Here is an 18,782-nt window from a genome sequence, read left to right as displayed (position 1 = left end):
CGAATGTCCTATTTTTTCCTGCCATTTCTCTGCTGAGCAACAGTTCACCCTTGAAGCTGCTGCTGCCTAAAGAACAGGAGAAGATTCAGGAATGCTAACAATAGTTACCTACATATCGCATGCCCTCTGCCCTTGCCCATTGTAAGAGCCTCACCACTTGGATCAGTAAGAGTCCACACTTGCTCAGTACATCTTGGTGCTCACTTCAGCTGTGGGCTCTGATTTAAACATCCAGCTCAGGGGATGCCTCTTTGGTGCATGTCATAATCAGGAGAAGAATGCTGGCTTTGGATTCTGGAACTGACTCCATTTGTAGTGAAGAGTTTGGAGAGCATCAATAATGGGATGGCAACATTCATTCATTCATTTATACCTCTAACCAGTCTTTCCTCACATACTGGTTGAGTACTCAATACGTGCCCTGTGCTTAGCTGAGTACTGTTCAATGGTGAACAAAGAAGACATGGTCTTAACTAGAAGTTCCTATTTCAACAGAGTAGCCCAAGGAACTTCAACCACTTTTGCTACAGGTGTATTAGTTACTGCCAAGAGTCTGTAAGTGTTCATGGGCCTCATTAAGCTCTGCCTTCCTTCTGCTTTTTGGAGCCTGGCCTTTGGTTGGCCTTGAATGAAGAGTGGGGCCCCAAAAGTACCACTGTCAGCACTCTCCAGGTGAGTATTATCCTGGGAGAGGCCAGGGCATGAGGAGGGCCAGGGCGTGGGGCCCTCTGAAGGCTGTGTCATCCCAGGCTTCAGCCACAGAGGTTTTATTACGGAGGAAAGCTGAGCTGTGAGCACGTTGCTAGGCTGTGGCTATTTATTTTTATAAACGAGCCTTGTGCTTAATTTAGAAACCTGCTTTTTCTTTTTCTTTCTTCTTTCCAGCATCATCTGGCTGTCTGGCACCATCAAAGAATTGCATTTCTGACCCAAGAAGAGCTTATGGGTGGATGGGGGTGGGATGGAAGCTGGGGAGAGGATTGATGCCAGCCAGCTGCCTCACAGGGTGCTGGAAACACGTGGCCATGCCATTAGCATCCTGTTCGGCTTCTGGACGAGTTTCATCTGTGACACCTACATAGTCCTCGCTTGGATCAGCAAGATAAAAGGCAGCCCTGATGTTAGTGCCTCCTCTGATGAGCCATACGCCAGAATCCAGCAGAGCAGAAGGCAATGCCACGCAGAAGAGGACCAAAGTCAGGTGCCAGAAGCAGGTGACATCTCCACTCTCAGTTCTTTGGAGGCAGCTATTTTAATAGAACCACTTTACTGCAGCTATTTTGACATGAGGATATTTTGGTATGGCTCAAAGATTCAGCCGATAAATGTTCAGCTTTTTAAAAAATAAATGATGAGTAAAATAGGCATCTTGCAGGCCATCTGTGAGCTTCACCTCAACCTTGATCTTCACCTCCCCCCCTCCATTGTCAATCTTACCTCCAGGCATCAAGGGTGTATGGATTGGTAACAGATGAAGGAAAGGACTGGTAGAGGTTCAAAATGAAAGAAATAGCAGGTCAGGACTCCAGGAGGGTTGAGGGTCTTTTAAAGTAAAACAAAACAAACAAACAAACAAAAAAACAGGGTCAACCAAATTCAGAAGTCAGGTAGAAGTCAGAGAAGGAATGAAAGATGGGAAACTGGTTATAAACCAAATACAGCGAGTCTGAATTTTGGCTTGTTTTGAGGCTGCTGTATCAAAACAGTTGTGTTGGAAGAGCTGCATGAAATTGTTGGGCAAGAAATAGTCCACTCATGATTCAGATAAGCTCATTTTGCCTCTTCCATGGTCGATTTCTGACTCATAAATGTCTATACATTTCACTTTACGGCTTATGTGAGCCTCAGTTTCCCCACATAAAATGCAGATGATGATGTTGGCCCTTCCTCTTTCCCCACCTTTTGCTCTCCTTCCAAGTGGCATGATGAGGAATGAGCCAGCATCTTGTAAACTGCTCCAGGCCACCTGGAGAAATGTGCTTGCGTAAATAGTCGGCATTAGTATACGTGAGTCTTCCATGAGTAAAGAATTTCAGAGTTGGCAGCCGTCTCTGCCTGGTGATTCATGTGGGCACGATGATGCCCTTAGCTACAATGTATGGTGTGGGTGATGAATTTGTTCTTGTCACAGCAGAGGACTGAGTATTCTTTACCCAAATGCTATAGATTGAGTTTGCACATGGGAACTAGATTAGCTCTGAAGAGAGTTGAAAGGAACCTGACATTTCTGCCTACAATCTAGAGTTTCATTGTACAAACAACCGCAGCAGCACATTTGTGCCCAACCATTGGCTCCCTTTGCCAGCAAAGAAAATCTTCTAAATTCTTCTGCCATTTGTCAAACCTGCCAAAGTCCCTGGAGGCAGTTCTGGTATAATTGAAGGTGGAGAAAGATAATATTCTCTCTACCAGGTTTCACTACTTCCTGTGTTGGTTGTTCACAAGGGGAGAGCTTCTGCATCACAGGATGAAGCTTCGGTGATTTAGATGTGGAATATCCTTCCAGGATTAGGGCAAGGAGGCCCCAGCTTCCAGAACCCTGTCCTGCAGCCTCCGCGTGGCTGGGCAGCGGCCTTCCTTTGAGCCTTCAGGGTGGAAACGAAGGACACGTGCGTCTCTGCAGCACTTCCGGCTTTCGCTCAATCCTATTTTCAGAGCCAAAGCGCCATCTCCTCTGGTACAGTTAATCTTTGTTCCTGCCACTGACCCTTCTATCTTTATTACTTTTCACCACGTCCTGGCCTTCAGATTTCTTATGGATTTGTCTCTCAGGCGTTGTGTTTTGATTCCCTCCTCACATTTACTTCCAAGTGCCAAGAACAACTTTGTTCCGGCAGAAGGATATTATTTGGCTTAAAAAGAAGAATGAGCAGTGGCTTCTCTCCATCAGCATTCTTTAGGTTTACGTGGGAATTCATTCTGGGAACCATTTAGAGTCTCCTTCAAGCCTCTCCCTGACCGACAAAGTTTCTGTCCCAGAGAGTTACTTTGCTTCCATTGTTTCTAAGTGGATGATAAGAACCTTTCTTTCTGAGCCTGTGTAGAAGGACTCAACACCCCTCCCCTCAATACTCCCCAGAGTATCCATTGGCTGGGCCCACAATGGATACACCCTGAGTATTGTTACCATTGTTATAGACTTCAGCATCAACTCCAGTATTTGGTGGTCCAATAAACCTTGAGTCCTCTTCAAGAATTGTTAGTTTTTCCCACCTTTGAGAACCACACTCACCCTTTAAGGCAGCTCTTCCTAAGTGACTGACAAACACTCCCTGGTTGAGCTGGTGGGGGCAGGTCCAGCCAACAATGGCTTCTCTGTTGACATCACACAGGCCTTAATGACACAGACTAGTCACAACAGCTGGTGCCCTCATGAGTGCCTATTAATATTTTGGGTAAGTTGTATTGCCCCATCCACCACTCTGTATAGTGATTCTGGAATTTGCTATTTGATACAAGCAAACGAAGAGATGGAAGGGGCTGTTCACCACTCAGTCTGCAAGCAAGCCTGTCGTGCCCATCTGCCAAGAGGAGTCCTTGTGTGCCTCCAAAATGGCCTGGTCCTTAACTTGATCTGCTTGGACTGATTGCAAACAGTGGCTTAGCTTCCTCTAGACCAGAGGACATTCTGTGCTCCCAAAACAGAATGCTACACATGGGAACAAGGGAAAGGGAGGCTTTGAGAGGTCAGCCAGCAAGGCCCCTGCTTCAAGCCTAAAACCAACGTAATTAGGTGAAGATTGAGCAGGATAAGGCTTTGCAAGGAACATCCCTGCCACGTCAAGGTGATCCCAGGTACGTGAATTGGCTCCTTTTGAGTCTTCCTACAACTCTTGGAGGCAAATAGGGCGGGTATTATTACTCTAGTTCTACCAAGGGAGAAACTAAGTTCTAGAAGTCAACTAAGGAAGTTATGTAACTTACTGGCGGACAGGACACAAGAAACCTCAAATTCCTGACATCTGTTCCAGTTTTTCCCATCACCCCATGTTGCCCTTCAGCAGGGCTTAAGCAAAACAGCCAACGCAAGTCCTAGCCTTTCCAGCTGGGCTGAAGTTAGAAACTGGCATGGATTTACAATGGAGTAGCTGGGGCCTGGGAGGCTACAGATAACTGCTTCTACTTGCTCGTATTGCAAGGCAAGGCTATATGGCTCAGCAGGGCTGAAACTATTTGGAGACTCGATTTTTACATGGTCATGGTGAGGGGGAGTGCAAATGAGAAAAAGGTACAACAATTTGCATTTGTGTGTGTGTGTGTGTGTGTATGCACATGTGCACATGTTTGGGCACACAGATGAGAAGACATTACTGTCATGATGGCTGTTGCAAGTGGATGGAGCATGTTCCCTTGCAGGTCATCTGCAGCTTCATGGACACACTGTAGCTTCTTACCTAAAGCTTCCACATCTCTGCCTGATGGCTCTCTCTGGCCACAGAAATTTGTTAAGCCCCATGCATGGGGAAGCCCAGAAGAGCATCAGAGTTAAAGGGGCCTGGAGCAACCCTTAACCAATGAAGGATGGAGCTTGTTAAAAAAAAAAAGTCTCCGTTTTTTTATACCCCCTGCCAACAGGAAAATCGAGGTGTTTTCCACTGAGCCTTTGAGAGGGACTCCAGAGGAAGTAAAACCCAAGTGCTCTGTGCAGCATCCTGCTCATGTACACCCCCTTTATTGGCTAACCCACCTCTCTCTATCTTGCTTCTCCAATCCCTCACTGTGTTTCTGGGGATCATATCCCCAGTAAACATGTGCATCTAGATTCCTGTTTCAGGAATTGAAACTAAGACAGTGGCCCAGTTCCTGCCTCCTGAGAGTGCCTTGTATGTGGTGGGTTTTCAGCCCCGCCAGATTCCTGCTAAGCGTGGCAGGTATGCATTTCCATGTTGAGCATTGCCCCCTTTCAGCCATTGACCAGGAAGATTTTGGCTCTGGCAGAAATAATTATAGAGTTTTTCAGGTTGGAAGAATCTCATCTCCAGGAGGACCCCTGCAGTAGTCCAGCAAGGATAAGAAACAAAGAATGAAGATGGGTGCATGCTTGTGGTCTCAACTGGGGAGGCTGAGGTGGGAGGATCACTTGAGCCAGGGAGTTTGAGGCTGCAGCGAGCTAAGATGACACCACTGCTCTCCAGCTTGGGTGACAGAGACCCCATCTCAAATAAATAAGAAACAGTGAATGGAATTAAAACAGTGAACGTTCACTAAAAACAATGCCAAATTGAAGCAAGCTTGGAGTTTTCTTGTTGAGCACATGGGCTCCTGAGCAGGTGCAGCCTCAGCTACTCCTCATTACCTTTCACCGGGCAAGCCATGCCAATAAGATCTCACTTTCACAGGGCATGTCTGGATTGACTTACTGTCTAAATTTCTCTTAGAGCTGCAGCAGGAGAGTCCTCTGCAGCATAGGAAGGTAGCATCAGAACTCCCTGGGGTAGGATCAGGTTCCTGGATGCTGCATTCCTATCAGTTCTCCGGAGTTCCAGCAGACAGCAGATTCGACTTGCAACCAAGCAGACACATGAAAGTAAATGTGCACTCCTAACATTTTGTAACCTGCCTCCCACAAAACAGAAGGCAGTCTTCCCTTTGCCTTATTCCCAGCCTTGCTCTTGACATTTTTACAGCCGACTTTGCATTTCTGACACCTCCCACTTGAATTGGCTCCTGGTCTCTCCTGGCTTGAGAATCCTAGTCACGTGACCCATCCCAGTGCACGCTCTCGGCTCTCTTTACGGCCAGGCCACACACCTCCTCGTCTTGACATTTAGGGCTTGTCATTTCTTTTCCTCTTCTGCTCCAATAAATCAGGACCAGTCAACATTCACTGCCCCCTGGGTGGTGTTTAGGGAAGCTGATACTGGGCTGAGGAGGCTTTTCTGTGTGCACGGGGGTTGAAAGCAAGCATTGCCTTTCTGCTTCCAATCTGTGGCTTTGCGACAGTGAGAATGAAACCCTGGGCAGGAGCCCAAGCTCCATGTCCAGGCGTCTTGTCTGACTTGTACAAAGCTGAGTGCTCAAACCAGACAAAGCAACAATGGCCTGCTCCTGGGTGCTGCCTTGTTTATGGCTCAGACCTGTGCCGCTGCTTTAGCTCATTCACCTCAGAAGGTCTGGTGTGGAATGGAATGATCAGCAGCCCGAGAACACAGAGGCTGTGCCAGTTCTGGCCCTCCCTGCCTCCCATACCACATCCTGGAACGTGGGTTTAATCCAGCCTAGAAGCAAAGGGGAAGCAAACCTCTTGAGGAGTGCCTAGTGGCGGGTGCTAAGCGATGCCCTTCAAGGGCATGAATGTATGGGAGGATAAAGTCATCAGAAAGAGAGAAAGCAGAAAGCAAGGGAAGATAGGAAATGGGAGAGAGCAAAATGAGAAAAGAGGAAAATGAATACACAAAGTGATCAGTAGGCAGAGGAGTAGCTGGCTGCCACTTACAACTCTTTGAGTGGCACTGATGCCATTTGTTATCCATCCCTGTTTCAAAGTGGGGTCAGGAGCTAGTGGATGCATGTGCTCTCTCCAGAGAAGACACACAGCTCAGATTTTCAAACCATGTTGCCCCCCATGGTTCCCTATATTAGAATTCAGCACAACTCTACTTGCTCAACTGTGAGAGGTCTTAACCAAACGGTTTGAAGCTGCTTTATAACAAATAAATAACCTGTGCAAATGTAAGATGATATATTTTTCCTCCTGTTCACCACAAGACTTGAATACACATTATCAGCACAATCCCCAAAGGTAATTTTAAGATGCAGGTTTAGAAGATTCTTTTCAAGAGACCATGACAGGTAGGCTGAGCATAATGTCTGGCACATAGTAGGTGCTCAATAAATGTCTGAAATTGAGTTAGTGAATGATTGAATATGAGAGACAGATCAAGAAGAATATTTTAACAAGAAGATACTTCAGTATTTAACACTGATACTTTTCAGAACATCTGATTGTTTTTGTTCTGGGCCTCACGGTTTTAAGGATGAGTGAACTTTCCAAGTGCACACTCACTGGCTGGCCTGTGATCACACACACATGCGCCAGGGTGCTAAGTGCAAGGAAGATTTGGACAATGCACAGTAATGGTGGAGGTTGAACCTGGCCAGGAGATTCTGGAGAGGTCTCTAGAAAAGCAGGTTCCAAAGCTGCTGAGGTCTCACCAAGCAGACCAGGCCCTGGAAGACAAACATAAAGATAGCAAAGGTATATGAAACAGCCTATTGTGTCAGAGAGGTGCAATAGTATGGCTGGGTCAAATTGGAGTGTGTGTGTGTGTGTGTGTGTGTGTGTGTGCGCGTTGGAGGGTGGGGCAACCACTGGCCTTTTTGGTCACCATGGGTTTTTCAGCGCCTTCTATGTGACCAAACACTGGCATTAGTAGGTTTCCCTTCTTTAGCTCTTCTGGGGGAGCTGAAATCCCATGTATAAGCTATTGCCTTGTCATGGCGGAGGGTGTGAGTATACTCATGTCTCCCTAAGGCCTCATGGTTTATGGTAGAGGACAATGATCTTTTATCTTCAAATCGCTTCATGGTGCTTATCTGGTTTCTAGTCTGTATTTCACTCTGCTGTGAACTACCTTGGGGAAAAACCTTCCTGCTTTTTGAGCACAGTGAGCACAAAACAGTTTTACAGAATGGATGGGTGCATGGGTGGACAACGGCCGGAAAAGATAGGTGGCTGTTCAGAAACCTACGAAAGCCCTTAAGCTCTGCTGTTCTCTCTTAAGGCAGCAAAATTCATTTTTTATCATGAGTACTCTTTGTTTATTACTAGCATTGCAAGTTCTCCCCTGAGGCGCAGAGCCCAGAAGACATCAGCGTGGAATGAAAAGAGTCAAGGATGGAGCCCCCACAGGACTTAGCAAGAATGCCAAGTAAGGGCTGTATAGGAGGGTGGCCAGCACAGGCCCTGAGGCCTGGGAGGAAGGGGAAGGGCTTGGAGGCTTTGCAGACCCTCAGACTCTTGGGCCTCGAGCAGTACCCGCAGACACAAGTCCTAGTGCTGGAATATTGTGCACACATCTGCTGCAGAATGCCTTGGGAGCCAAAGGATTTGATGAAGCTCAAATCAGAGTAGATAGAAAGCAATTATGTTTTTGCATCCTCAGCTCCTGCCACCCTGCACCTCCCTGGGGATGCACTTGTGGCATTTGGGTGTTTTTCTCACAAAGGCCTGGAGAGAGAAAAACATCCAGTCACCATCTAATAAATTATCCATTATGTCACCGCTTCTGCTGGCCTCGTTCTGACACTTCTCCCCTTCTGATTGTAGACAATAATTACCCTCTAATTGCTAAGATAATCTTGCTTATGGAGCTACAGCAGCAATGAAAAGCTGTTGTTTGTTAGGGCTCATCCTGAATGTTGATTTAAGCTGAATTACACCTCAGTTCGATCTGAAGAGCAACCCCCAGTCAAATGAGGCAAGGTCTTTGGAGACCTGGAACTGGGTGCCACAGCATGTTTCTAGCTTCTCTCCTGGCCTAAGAGCTACAGAGCTACACCTGACTTGAGAGAGGTTACTTATCAGCCCCTCCACAAACAGGGCCCTGCAGTGGGATGGATCCCTTTGTGTCTGAGGGCCACCCACCCGCAGTGGATAGAGAATGACTGAAGGAAGGCAGAGAGTGCACCCAGTGCCCCCCACCAACAAGTGGATTTCTCTGCAATTCAGATTGGCCTTTGACTCTGTGCCATTATGTCTTTCTTCAAAGCACATAACTGAATGGCAGAAAAATATCACAAATCATTAACGTAATTAGTGTTTATTGGACACCCCATATTCACATTGCTTGGTGCTGGATGCGGTACAGCCTGAGAAGCTTATTTCCTGCAACATGAGCACAGAGTCTGTGTGGAAGGCACGGGGCATATATGGAAATCTGCGGCAGTAGTATTGGACACACTAACAAGCATCAATTTTCAGATGGGGTAAAATGGAGGAAGAGCTTGAGAGAATGCCTGAGTGTGAGCTGAATGGCAGGCTTGACAATATACGTCACTTAGTTGATTACTTCATTTATCTACCTCTATTTATTGAGGACCTACTAAGTGAGAAGTATGGAACAAGGCACCAAGAATTTTAAAAATAACCATTGCCCAGACATTTTGAAGAGCTCACATTCTGCTGAGAATTGAAGTGTGAATATACTATATAAATGATTGGAATACAATATCCATGGAGAGTAGGGAGTATTAGGAAAGCATCAAAGAAAGGCTGATTGATTCAGCCAGAGGAGATGGGAGCTAGCTTTGAACTGGGCCTCGAAGGGTTGGTGAACTTTTGAAAGGTTGGCTGAAGGCATTTTTGGCCTGGAAGCTGGAAGGGCATGGAGTAGTTAAAGTAATGTGAAATAGTTCTGTGTGACCAAAGAACATCCAGGGCAAGGCATCGTGAGGGGATGCAGCTGGAGAGAGGCTGAGAATAGCTAGTTCTGAAAGCTTCTGAGTGTCCTGTGAAGGCTGTGGGCTTTACATAACCGGCTTTAGGTAGACAGAGGGCATAGAGAGCCTCACTCTGGCCGGTGTGGAGGGGACTGGATGAAGGGAGGGAAGGACAGGGCCAGCAAGGCCTGCAGGAAAGTGGTCAACATTACTGGAGTTGCAGGAAAACCTTTCAGAGATGCATGGGAGATGGAGTTCATTCGGCTCTTGTGTTGCTTTTCTCTCTTCAGTGCCTTTGGGGTACCCCTACACACAGTTGTCTTATAATTCTCCTAATTTTCTTATTCTGGAAGACTTTCCATATATTTCTCTTGGGCTCCGAGTTCTATCCTCTATTTCTGTAATGTCAGGCTGTATGACCAGTTTTGTTTTTGGTTGGGTAAGAGAGACCAGGGTGCACACTCAAGTTAGTGGAAGTTTCCCACCACAGGCTGGACTCAACCTGAAGTCCCTTTTTATGGCTGAAACAACTCTTTTCAAGTTGATAGATTCTCACTCGAAGTGGAAGTTATTTGCTTAAGGATCTGGACCCCTTTCTACATACTCCATCAGAGATGCTAATCATTTAGGGGTCAAAGGTCAGCTAGCCTATAAACACAAATTTATTGGACATCTGCTGTTTACACATCACACTGCTATTCCAGGTTGTGTTCCAGAAAGAGTCTAGACTCTGAGTCTCTGCGAAAGTCCTTTTAATCCCTTCCACTGCCAACAATGCTTGCTGCTGGCTTGGGACAGCCTGCCTACGTGCTGTTGCAAAATGAATCTCTCTTAAAACACTCACAAAGCCTGACACATGTCAGTCAGTTGGACTGCCAGCACCTGCCAATGGACACAGAAACAAGAGAAAGGCTGGTCTCTGGACTGTTTTCCAGATAATAAATCTAGCCATATGGAGGAAGCAGCCTCTCCTTTGGAGATGGTAAATCAATTTCCCTAAAAACAAACAAATCTGCATTTCTCTGAGCCTGTTTTTCCCATTTCCCAAAGTTAATATATTCTGGATAATAAAACAAAAGGAAAATAATAGGTTGATGCAGCACCTTCTATGTATGTGATTATCTGTAAAACATCATACTGGGTACTATAGGCTCATAAAAAAACCAAGGCTTGGCCTCTGACCTCATGGACCTTATATTCTACTTGGAGATGTACAGAGCTGGATTAATACATTTAGGGGCTCCAACCTGAAATGATTATAGTCCTTCTCACCCACATACAGATAATTTTTTTAAAAAAAACCAGAATTTATGAGTAAGCAAAATTTCTGCATGTTCTTATTGCAAAACTCTGGTTAAGCTAATTGAATTGAAGATGAGCTTTTCTCATGTTCTAGTACCCTTGTTTTGTTGGTGTTCTAAGCATGGGCTTCATCTGCCTACTAGTAACCCGGATGGGCCAAAACTATGCACATCGGAAGCTGTAAAACTGTATATACCAGACGATATTACAATAAGAAAAGTACATGGTGGGTCCCTGTGTCATTCAGGGTTCTCCAGAGAAACAGAACCAACAGGAGAGGTGTGTGTGTGTGTGTGTGTGTGTGTGTGTGTGTTGAGAAAGAGGGAGAGAGAGTTTTATTTCAACGAATTGACTTAAGTGATTGTGGGGGTGGCTTGAAAGTCTAAAATTTGTAGTGCAGGCTGGCAGGCTGGAAACTCAGGAAGAGGTGAAGGTACACTCCAGAGGCAGGATTTCTTCTTCCTCAGAGAAACCTCAGTTTTGTTCCTAAGGCATTTCACTGATTGAATGAGGTCCACCCATACTAGTGACAATAATCTCCTTTACTTAAAGGCAAGTGATTGTAGATGTTAATCACATCTACAAAATATTGCCATAGCAACACCTAGATAAGTGTTTGATTGAGTAACTGGCTATAGCCTAGCCAAGTTGACACACAAAACAGACCATCACAGTCCCCAGTAAAAGTGTAGACATGAGCACTGTGGATGGTCAGAGGTGGGAATCTGACGATGTGATAGCTGGAAGGGAATTTAGAGATCACCAAGTTTAATCTTCATGCACAGGGAAGGTGCCTGCCGTGCTTGGTTTGTATGAAGTATTGAAAACAGGCTTTCCCAATCTAGTAGCATGTTTTATATGAGGGATTCAAGTGGACTTTTACAGAGGCATGGGGTCTGGATTATTTCTTGATTAAGCGTGGTGAATCAGAATGTACATAGCAGATGTCCAAATAATATTTTTTAATTAGATCACATTGGATCTAGGCCTGAGGCTTAGTCTTATCCTTTGAGGAAAGGATCCAAGACTATCATTTCACTGATATATCCCTAGGGCCTAGCGTAGTCTTGGTACGTAATAGGTGCTCAAAAGCATTGGTGGAATTCATGAGTAGAATGAATGCATGGAATTCAGGCCAGTTGGAGGTGCAATATCCTGATTCTATCATAGGAATGTAGACACAGAAAGGAAATATTCTAAGCACTAATCTGAGTTTCATCTGCCGGATGGAAATGCTAGTATATTACCTTTCTAACAGGTGTATCCAAAGGAGTATCTGGGCAAATACATATATTTAGCACAGCACTAGGCATATAGTAGGTGCTCAATAATCGGTAGTGATTACTATGACAATATTTCTTTTTTTTTTAACTCGTTTTTTTCATTATACTTTAAGTTCTGGGGTACATGTGCAGAACGTGCAGTTTTGTTACGTAGGTCTACATGTGTCATGATGGTTTGCTGCACCCATCAACCCATCACCTACATTAGGTATTTCTCCTAATGTTATTCCTCCCCTACCCTCCCACCCCACAATAGGCCCCATTGTGTAATGTTCCCCTCCCTATGTCCATGTGTTCTCATTGTTCAACTCCCACTTATGAGTGAGAACATGCAGTGTTTGGTTTTCTGTTCTTGTGATCGTTTGCTGAGAATGATGGTTTCCAGCTTCATCCGTGTCCCCACAAAGGACATTAACTCATCCTTTTTTATGGCTGCATAGTATTCCATGGTGTATATGTGCCACATTTTCTTTATCCAGTCTATTATTGATGGACATTTGGGTTGGTTCCAAGTCTTTGCTATTGTGAATAGTGCCGCAATAAATATACCTGTGCATGTGTCTTTATAGTAGAATGATTTATAATCCCTTGGGTATAAGCCCAGTAATGGGATTGCTGGGTCAAATGGTATTTCCAGTTCTAGATCCTTGAGGAATCGCCACACTGTCTTCCTCAATGGCTGAACTAATTTACACTCCCACCAACAGTGTAAAAGCATTCCTATTTCTCCACATCCTCTCCAGCATCTGTTGTTTACTGACTTTTTGATGATCGCCATTCTAACTGGCGTGAGATGGCATCTTACTGTGGTTTTGATTTGCATTTCTTTAATGACCAGTGATCATGAGCATTTTTTCATATGTCTGTTGGCTGCATAAATATATTCTTTTGAAAAGTGACTATAACAATATTTCCCACAATCCAACTCTGGTAGATGCTGGAGGTGCCATGCCCAGAGCACCTTTACCAGCCGTGCACCCATCCTCCAGCTCTGGGTACTGACTTTCAATAGCTCACAGCTGCCCACTTTTCCAGAGAATTGCTCTCTACTGAAATAAGAGCTGTGTTCACTAGGAGGTTATGGTTCCTGCCCCCAGGGATAGCCCACAGCCAATGACTAATCCACACAGAGAGACAAAGGGTTGGCCAGCTCCATAGCTCAAGGTGATCAGGCTGCAGCCAGTCGCCAGCTGAGCTCTCCTCTAGCTTTTCTCCCTGCCTATTATGCTCCTCTCACTCCTTTTCTCCTGAGAGCATGAGCTCAGTAAATCACTTGACCAAGAGTCTTCGTTTTATAATCTGCTTCTAGGGAACCTAACTTAAGACACTGTTACTTGGAGAGAGCCGCCAATTATTTGTCTGTGCAATAATGAGCCATTTTCTGGTTGTGATTCTGATATTCAGACCCCTGAGTGAGTCTCTGCCACAGAATGTTCCTAGCTAGAAGAAGAACATGGCCTTGCAACTGCAGCTGGCAGCTGGCACTTGGCTCATCCACAGCTGATCTCCTCAATCAGCAAGGCTGGTGTACTCATCTTCTTTGTGTTACATTTTGCCTAATTGTGCCTGGCCAAGTCAATTCAATCAGCCTAGCTTGTTCCGTAAACCAAATAATGACAAGTTCAACCATCAAGGTTTGAATTTCAGGGAAAACATTCACTCACTCACTCACTCATTCATTCATTCCTCCAACAGTTACGGAGTGTTGTCCACAGAGCCAGATACCGGGGATGTGGCTACTAACATAGATAAGACATGCCCTCTGGGAACTCACAGTCTGGAGGGAGAAATGGACAAATAAATAGGCAACTGCAAAGGCGTTTGTGATCCATTCTATAATATGATGCTATGAGAACACAGAGGAGATGAGCCAGGATGGAGGTCAAAATGGCTTGTTCTTCATTGTGGTTGACCTAAACAGAAATAAACAGAATAGATATCCCCTAGCACACTGCAAACCAAAGTGGTTACTTCAGAGTAGAAGGTGTCACATGTACAAAGATGTGTAGTTTTAAGCACAAAGAATGGTTGCCTAGTGATGGACAGAATAAAGAGATATAAATGCAAAAGGACTCTGCCTTCTGTGTTATTACTGCTGTAGCTTTTCTCCCACTCAAACACTCACTTCCTGGGACTCAAAGAAAGTGCAGCTGAATTCGATGGCTTTTAGCTGGGGACTGGCTAGATCAGTGGAAATCACAACCAAGTTCTCCCACTGCCTTTCTATCCAACAGCACTGTGGATCACCCGCAGACAAGGTGAGGATGCAGTGGTCTCACTGCACGGCTGCCTTATTGTTGCTTATTCCTCCTGTGCCATTCATCAATCTACTCTGGCAAGACATGCAGAGGTTATAGCCTAATTATGAGGTTAGGAATGTTAATTGTTCTATGTTGATATTAGTGTAGCTGGTGCTAATGGGAAAATAATTACTACTCTGTGCCTTTATGGCCATTTTCATTGCCCTCTTGTGGTTTTGCAGTTATTTGGCTATAGATGGTAATGACTTAATATGTGGCTGCTATTATTGCTGTGACTATACAATTGGGAGAGTCAGAAAAGAGGAGGTGTTTGGGAGAAGTTGGAGCCTTTTAAATACTTTTACTTTTCTTAAGTTGTTTTTTTTCTTTGCAAGGGGTTTTCTTGGGCAGTAAGAATGTAAAATTCTAAAAATTCCAGTGTTTCGGTGTTTCAAGGACCCCAAGATCTTATTCATAAGTCAGCTGTTGGTGATTATGTGTTGGGCTCTGAAAGATAAGGAGTGCTCCTGGTCTCTCTGAATGCCACCTCCCACCCATTTTCCTGAGCTGTAGGCCCAGAGGTCAATCTAGATCTCTCCATGTCACTTATTCTACAGTGCCCCACCTCCAGTCACTCTCGAAGCGCATCGATTGTATCCTGAGCATCTCTTTTCTGTTGCCTCCTCTCTGGTCCTGATCACGGCTCTGCTCATTTATCTTTTCCTTGGACCACTGATTGGCAACCACCAACTTACCGGTCTCTGCGCCTCTATTTTCAGACTCCATTTTTCGGTTCCTTATTTAAAATCCTCCAATGGCTCTTCATTGACTGCAAAATAAAATACAAACTCCTTTTCAAGACACTTCAAGAGCTAACCCTTGTCCACCTTTTTAACTTCTTCTTCCACATTTCCTTCTCGTTTCCAATAGCCCCAAGTAGCACTCATTATTTGTTCTTCTTCAGGTACATCGTGCTGTCTCCTCCCGCCTCCATGCTGGTGCATATGCCGCCCTTCCTCCCTGGAATGCCCTCGTCTTCCAGAGGCTGCTTCATTTGAGAGCCTTCTCTGATTCATCCAGGCAAATTAACAGATAATAACTGTTTTAGCTACTAAATATTAAACTCTCTCAAGGCAGGGTCTATATTTGTCTTATTTACCACTGTGGTCACAAGCCTGTTATATCATCTGGCCTATGGAGAGTACACACTAAATATTCAAAATAAGGAACTGAAAAAGTCTCTATTATGGTTTGGATATGGTTTATTTGTTCCCACCAAACACATGTTGAAATTGGATCCCCAGTGTGGTGGTGTTGGGAGGTGGGTCCTAATGGGAGGTGTTTGGGTCATGGGGGCAGATCCTTCGTGAATGGCTTGTCATGGGTCTCACCAAGTGACTGAGTTCCTGCTCTGGGGAGGCTAGACTAGTTCTTGTGAGAATGGATTAGTTTCCACAAGAATGGGTTGGTATAAAACCAGGAGCCCCTTAGGTTTTGCCTCTCTTCACAAATGTTCGCTTCCCCTGCGACCTTCTCTGCCATGTTTTTTAACCCAGCACGTGGTTCTCACCAGATGCTGAGCAGATGTTGGCACCATCCTTCTCATACTTCCCAGACTGCACAGCTGTGAGCTAAATAAACCTCTTTTCTTTATAAATTACCTAGGCTTAGGTATTCTATTATAGCAACATTGAACAGACTTAGAAAAGTCCTCAAGGCAACACATACTTTTGACATCTACTTAGACACACAGATTAAAAGGTTACATAACCACATCTCTTTCTAGAGATAGGTTGCAAATGAATGTTTTCATCCATAACATTTCAAGTAATACATTGAAACCTCATCAATTCAGACTAATGGGAGCAGGAAAGAAAAAGTTTCTTTTAAATTTGTGGTATATTTCAATTTCAGGCTTTTTTCCCCAGGCCAGTTTATTTTGACATCTACCAAGCACCTACCATGTGCTAGGTATGGTCCTGGACACAACACTGGCTATATGAATGTAAATACGACATGGTTCCTGACTTGGAGACGCCTAAAGCCCTTTGATAAATGCCTTTCTGTAGACTTAATATACCTATATTCACTCTAAATATAACTTGTTTCTTTAAATCATATGGTTATCTCTGCCTGGTTTTGTCTGGAACTTTCCTTCCTGCCTTTCCTATTTGGTTAATTATTACTTGTCTTTCCCACATCAAAACCTTCTCTGGCTAAGACCACACCTCTCCTTCTCTTCCTCCTTTCCTTCCCCAGAATCATTCTCTCTGTTCCTCTTCTGTTTCCCCAGGGCCCTCCCTATAGCCTTGTCCACTGCACCATCCTCACTCCTTTCCCACTATTCTGTGTGTTCCTTCAGGGCAGTGACCATCATTTTATTCTGTCTTTCTAGCACAGTGACTGACACATGGGAGATGCTCAATGATTTCTGATATTGTTACAATGAATGAATAAATAAATGAAACTAGAATTTTTAACTGGAGATCCTGCAAGCCTCTTTTTAATGAATTGTTTATAATTGGGAACACTCACTCCTAGAGACCTAGGCCCCCAAAGTTCCTCATTCTCCCCCAGTCAACTAAGTTAACATCTCTTAGAATATCTTATTACCTCAGGATTTTATTAGATTCAGCCATAGGAAATTGCTATGTTTTGTGCATCAAAAACAGCTGAACATCAGCACATCATACAGTTCAAACTAATACTTAACAAATCTGCTCAATACTAATGGTGCCAAGGTGAACATCAAAGTGTCCATATTCAAATGTTCTAGGTTCCAAATGAGAAGACTGGTTTCCTTATCTCATTCTGGGTCTCCCTGGCTTATGTCTCCAAAGCTATTCAGAATGGTCTGCTAAGCCTGCTGCTTCTTTCAGCTTTCCTGACTGGGTCCACAAATGCTTAGAGAGCTGTGCAGAAATCATCCTTTTTAGAGTCACTTATGAAAGGTTAGCACTTATAGCCAATTAGCAAAAGCCCAGTACAAAGCAAATCTATAATAATTGTCTTTGCATACCATGTGGCACAATAGCTATTATTCATGCCATAGAGAGAATATCCAGTTGTTGGATGGAGGGGCTTGGGAAATGGTAGTTTGGTGAGGTCCCAATCTTGCTGGAAAGGGAGTCACATTGCTTGTCCTTGGGCCTTTAAGTCTGCAGCCCTGCTCTTGTCCTATATGGCCAACCCTCCCCACACCTCACCCCAGGACCAAGCTTTTGTGAGCTTCACAGCCTTTGCTGGAGACTTTGCTCCATTTCCAAAGCAAGTGGTGCCACTGACTCTCAGCCTCTTGCCTCATTTCCTGTCTATCTCACGTTCACCCCTTAAATCTCACAACCAATATTTCTCTACAGGAATCACCCTAGACTTCCCTCCTTCATGGAGACTGCATTTTCTCTGGTCACTCAAAATATCATTTCAGGATGTTGACAGATCACTTGGGACCCAACCCCCGCACTACTTTTACTTGGCTGATGTTGTCCAGTGCCCCTCTCTGTTCTTTACCAGTCCCAGAGAAAATGATTGAGAGCTAATTGATCCAAAGGGGCAGAAAAAGGGATGAGAACATAGGCCTGCCTCCCAAAGGATCTTCCTTTTGCCATAGGTCAGGTTCAAATGTCATATAACATTGGTCAAAACTCAGCCTCCACTCACCCCTCTCCTCACATCTCATATTCCCCAGGCTGACCTGGAAAGGTGGAGGAAAAGAAGGCAGAAGGGAGAGATGAAGCCCAAGAACCTGAGTATTTTTCTCAGGCAAGACTCAGGACTGCTCTGGACATTCAGAAGCTGAGTGTGCAAGTGTGCTGTGTAGTTCAAGGCCACCACCACTGAAGAGGCCAAGGACACCTTAGTAGGAATTCTAACCTGGCTTCCAGGGAGAGGTGCTTCCAAATTGGCCCTGTAGGCAAATTCACTTTTTTCACCCTCTAAGCGAGTAAGTGCTTGTTCCCAATTTCCATGGTTTAGTCTTCAGTTTCAGTCTTTGGTCTCCTCTGGTCTATCAGCTCCCATCTCTCTCCCAGTCTTTTTCTTTATTCTGTGACACCTGTTGAATGAGGCACATAGGGTTTGTAGTCACTGTAGTGTTCCTTGTGGTTGTGAGGTAATAGGCTAATATTATCACTTTCTCAGAAAGTCTTCAAAATTATCATGAGGAGGTGATGCATTCATCTGCTGGGAGGTGTCTGTGTGGTCAGATAAGATGATGGCTACATTCCATTCCTATCCTGTCATTCAATCATTCTTCCTCCAGGGAGCCACTGAGGGACGTGATAGTCCAAAGCACTCAGCTAAAACGGAATTGCAAACATGGTACCCACAACTTTGGTTTCTTATCATCCATTTGTATATCTGCATGTAGTCTGTCTCTGATTTAGGGTTTAGGTTCCTCTGTATTTTTTTTTCTTTTCCTGCCCTTTGAGAGTTTAATAAAAGCCAGAAGCATCTTGTAAATGGTGACACAAGAATCATTATCAAATACACCTCTTGCACAATAATATATAGTACAAACATTAAGGTGTGTGGCTTTATCAGCTAGATTGCGTGAATGTAAAACAGCTCCCACATT

The 18,782-nt window shown here is 44.6% G+C and overlaps 4 long non-coding RNA genes across 5 annotated transcripts in view, besides 2 other annotated features; 3 read left to right on the top strand and 1 right to left on the bottom strand.

Annotated features, from left to right (window-relative positions):
* The first annotated feature begins 559 nt into the window (after positions 1–559).
* On the top strand, positions 560–18,667 carry SMIM2 (small integral membrane protein 2). The gene is made up of 3 exons (NR_197392.1): positions 560–672; positions 886–1,214; positions 17,895–18,667. It is a non-coding gene; the product is annotated as a small integral membrane protein 2 (long non-coding RNA).
* Positions 1,429–2,628: an enhancer, noted in NCBI's record as "P300/CBP strongly-dependent group 1 enhancer chr13:44733325-44734524 (GRCh37/hg19 assembly coordinates)". NCBI's record gives its function as "activates an origin of replication core promoter dependent on BRD2, BRD4, P300/CBP, MED14 and CDK7 cofactors, with strong dependence on P300/CBP, by STARR-seq in HCT116 cells {active_cell/tissue: HCT116}" and the evidence as "EXISTENCE:reporter gene assay evidence [ECO:0000049][PMID:35650434]".
* Positions 3,595–15,347, top strand: SMIM2-IT1 (SMIM2 intronic transcript 1). Its single transcript, NR_046843.1, has 3 exons — positions 3,595–3,795; positions 7,772–7,871; positions 15,171–15,347. It is a non-coding gene; the product is annotated as an SMIM2 intronic transcript 1 (long non-coding RNA).
* SMIM2-AS1 (SMIM2 antisense RNA 1) overlaps positions 7,738–18,782 on the bottom strand; it is a 43,531-nt gene continuing 32,486 nt past the window's right edge. For both annotated transcript variants that reach the window (NR_104065.1, NR_104064.1), the window contains exons 2-5: positions 18,080–18,260; positions 14,962–15,035; positions 13,741–13,879; positions 7,738–8,170 (exon numbers count right to left, since the gene is read on the bottom strand). This is a non-coding gene — a long non-coding RNA (SMIM2 antisense RNA 1). The remainder of the gene's footprint in view (positions 8,171–13,740; positions 13,880–14,961; positions 15,036–18,079; positions 18,261–18,782) is intronic.
* The window catches only part of LINC00390 (long intergenic non-protein coding RNA 390), a 41,645-nt gene continuing 36,944 nt past the window's right edge, over positions 14,082–18,782 (top strand). The window contains exon 1 of the long non-coding RNA NR_132368.1: positions 14,082–14,224. This is a non-coding gene — a long non-coding RNA (long intergenic non-protein coding RNA 390). The remainder of the gene's footprint in view (positions 14,225–18,782) is intronic.
* Positions 17,944–18,138: a silencer, noted in NCBI's record as "fragment chr13:44717815-44718009 (GRCh37/hg19 assembly coordinates)". NCBI's record gives its function as "represses an EF-1alpha promoter that drives an FKBP-Casp9 reporter gene in an ReSE screen in K562 erythroleukemia cells {active_cell/tissue: K562}" and the evidence as "EXISTENCE:reporter gene assay evidence [ECO:0000049][PMID:32094911]".

The sequence above is a fragment of the Homo sapiens genome, chromosome 13, assembly GCF_000001405.40.
Source record: "Homo sapiens chromosome 13, GRCh38.p14 Primary Assembly".
Lineage (NCBI taxonomy): Eukaryota > Metazoa > Chordata > Mammalia > Primates > Hominidae > Homo > Homo sapiens.
This window is presented reverse-complemented; position numbering and strand designations above follow the sequence as displayed.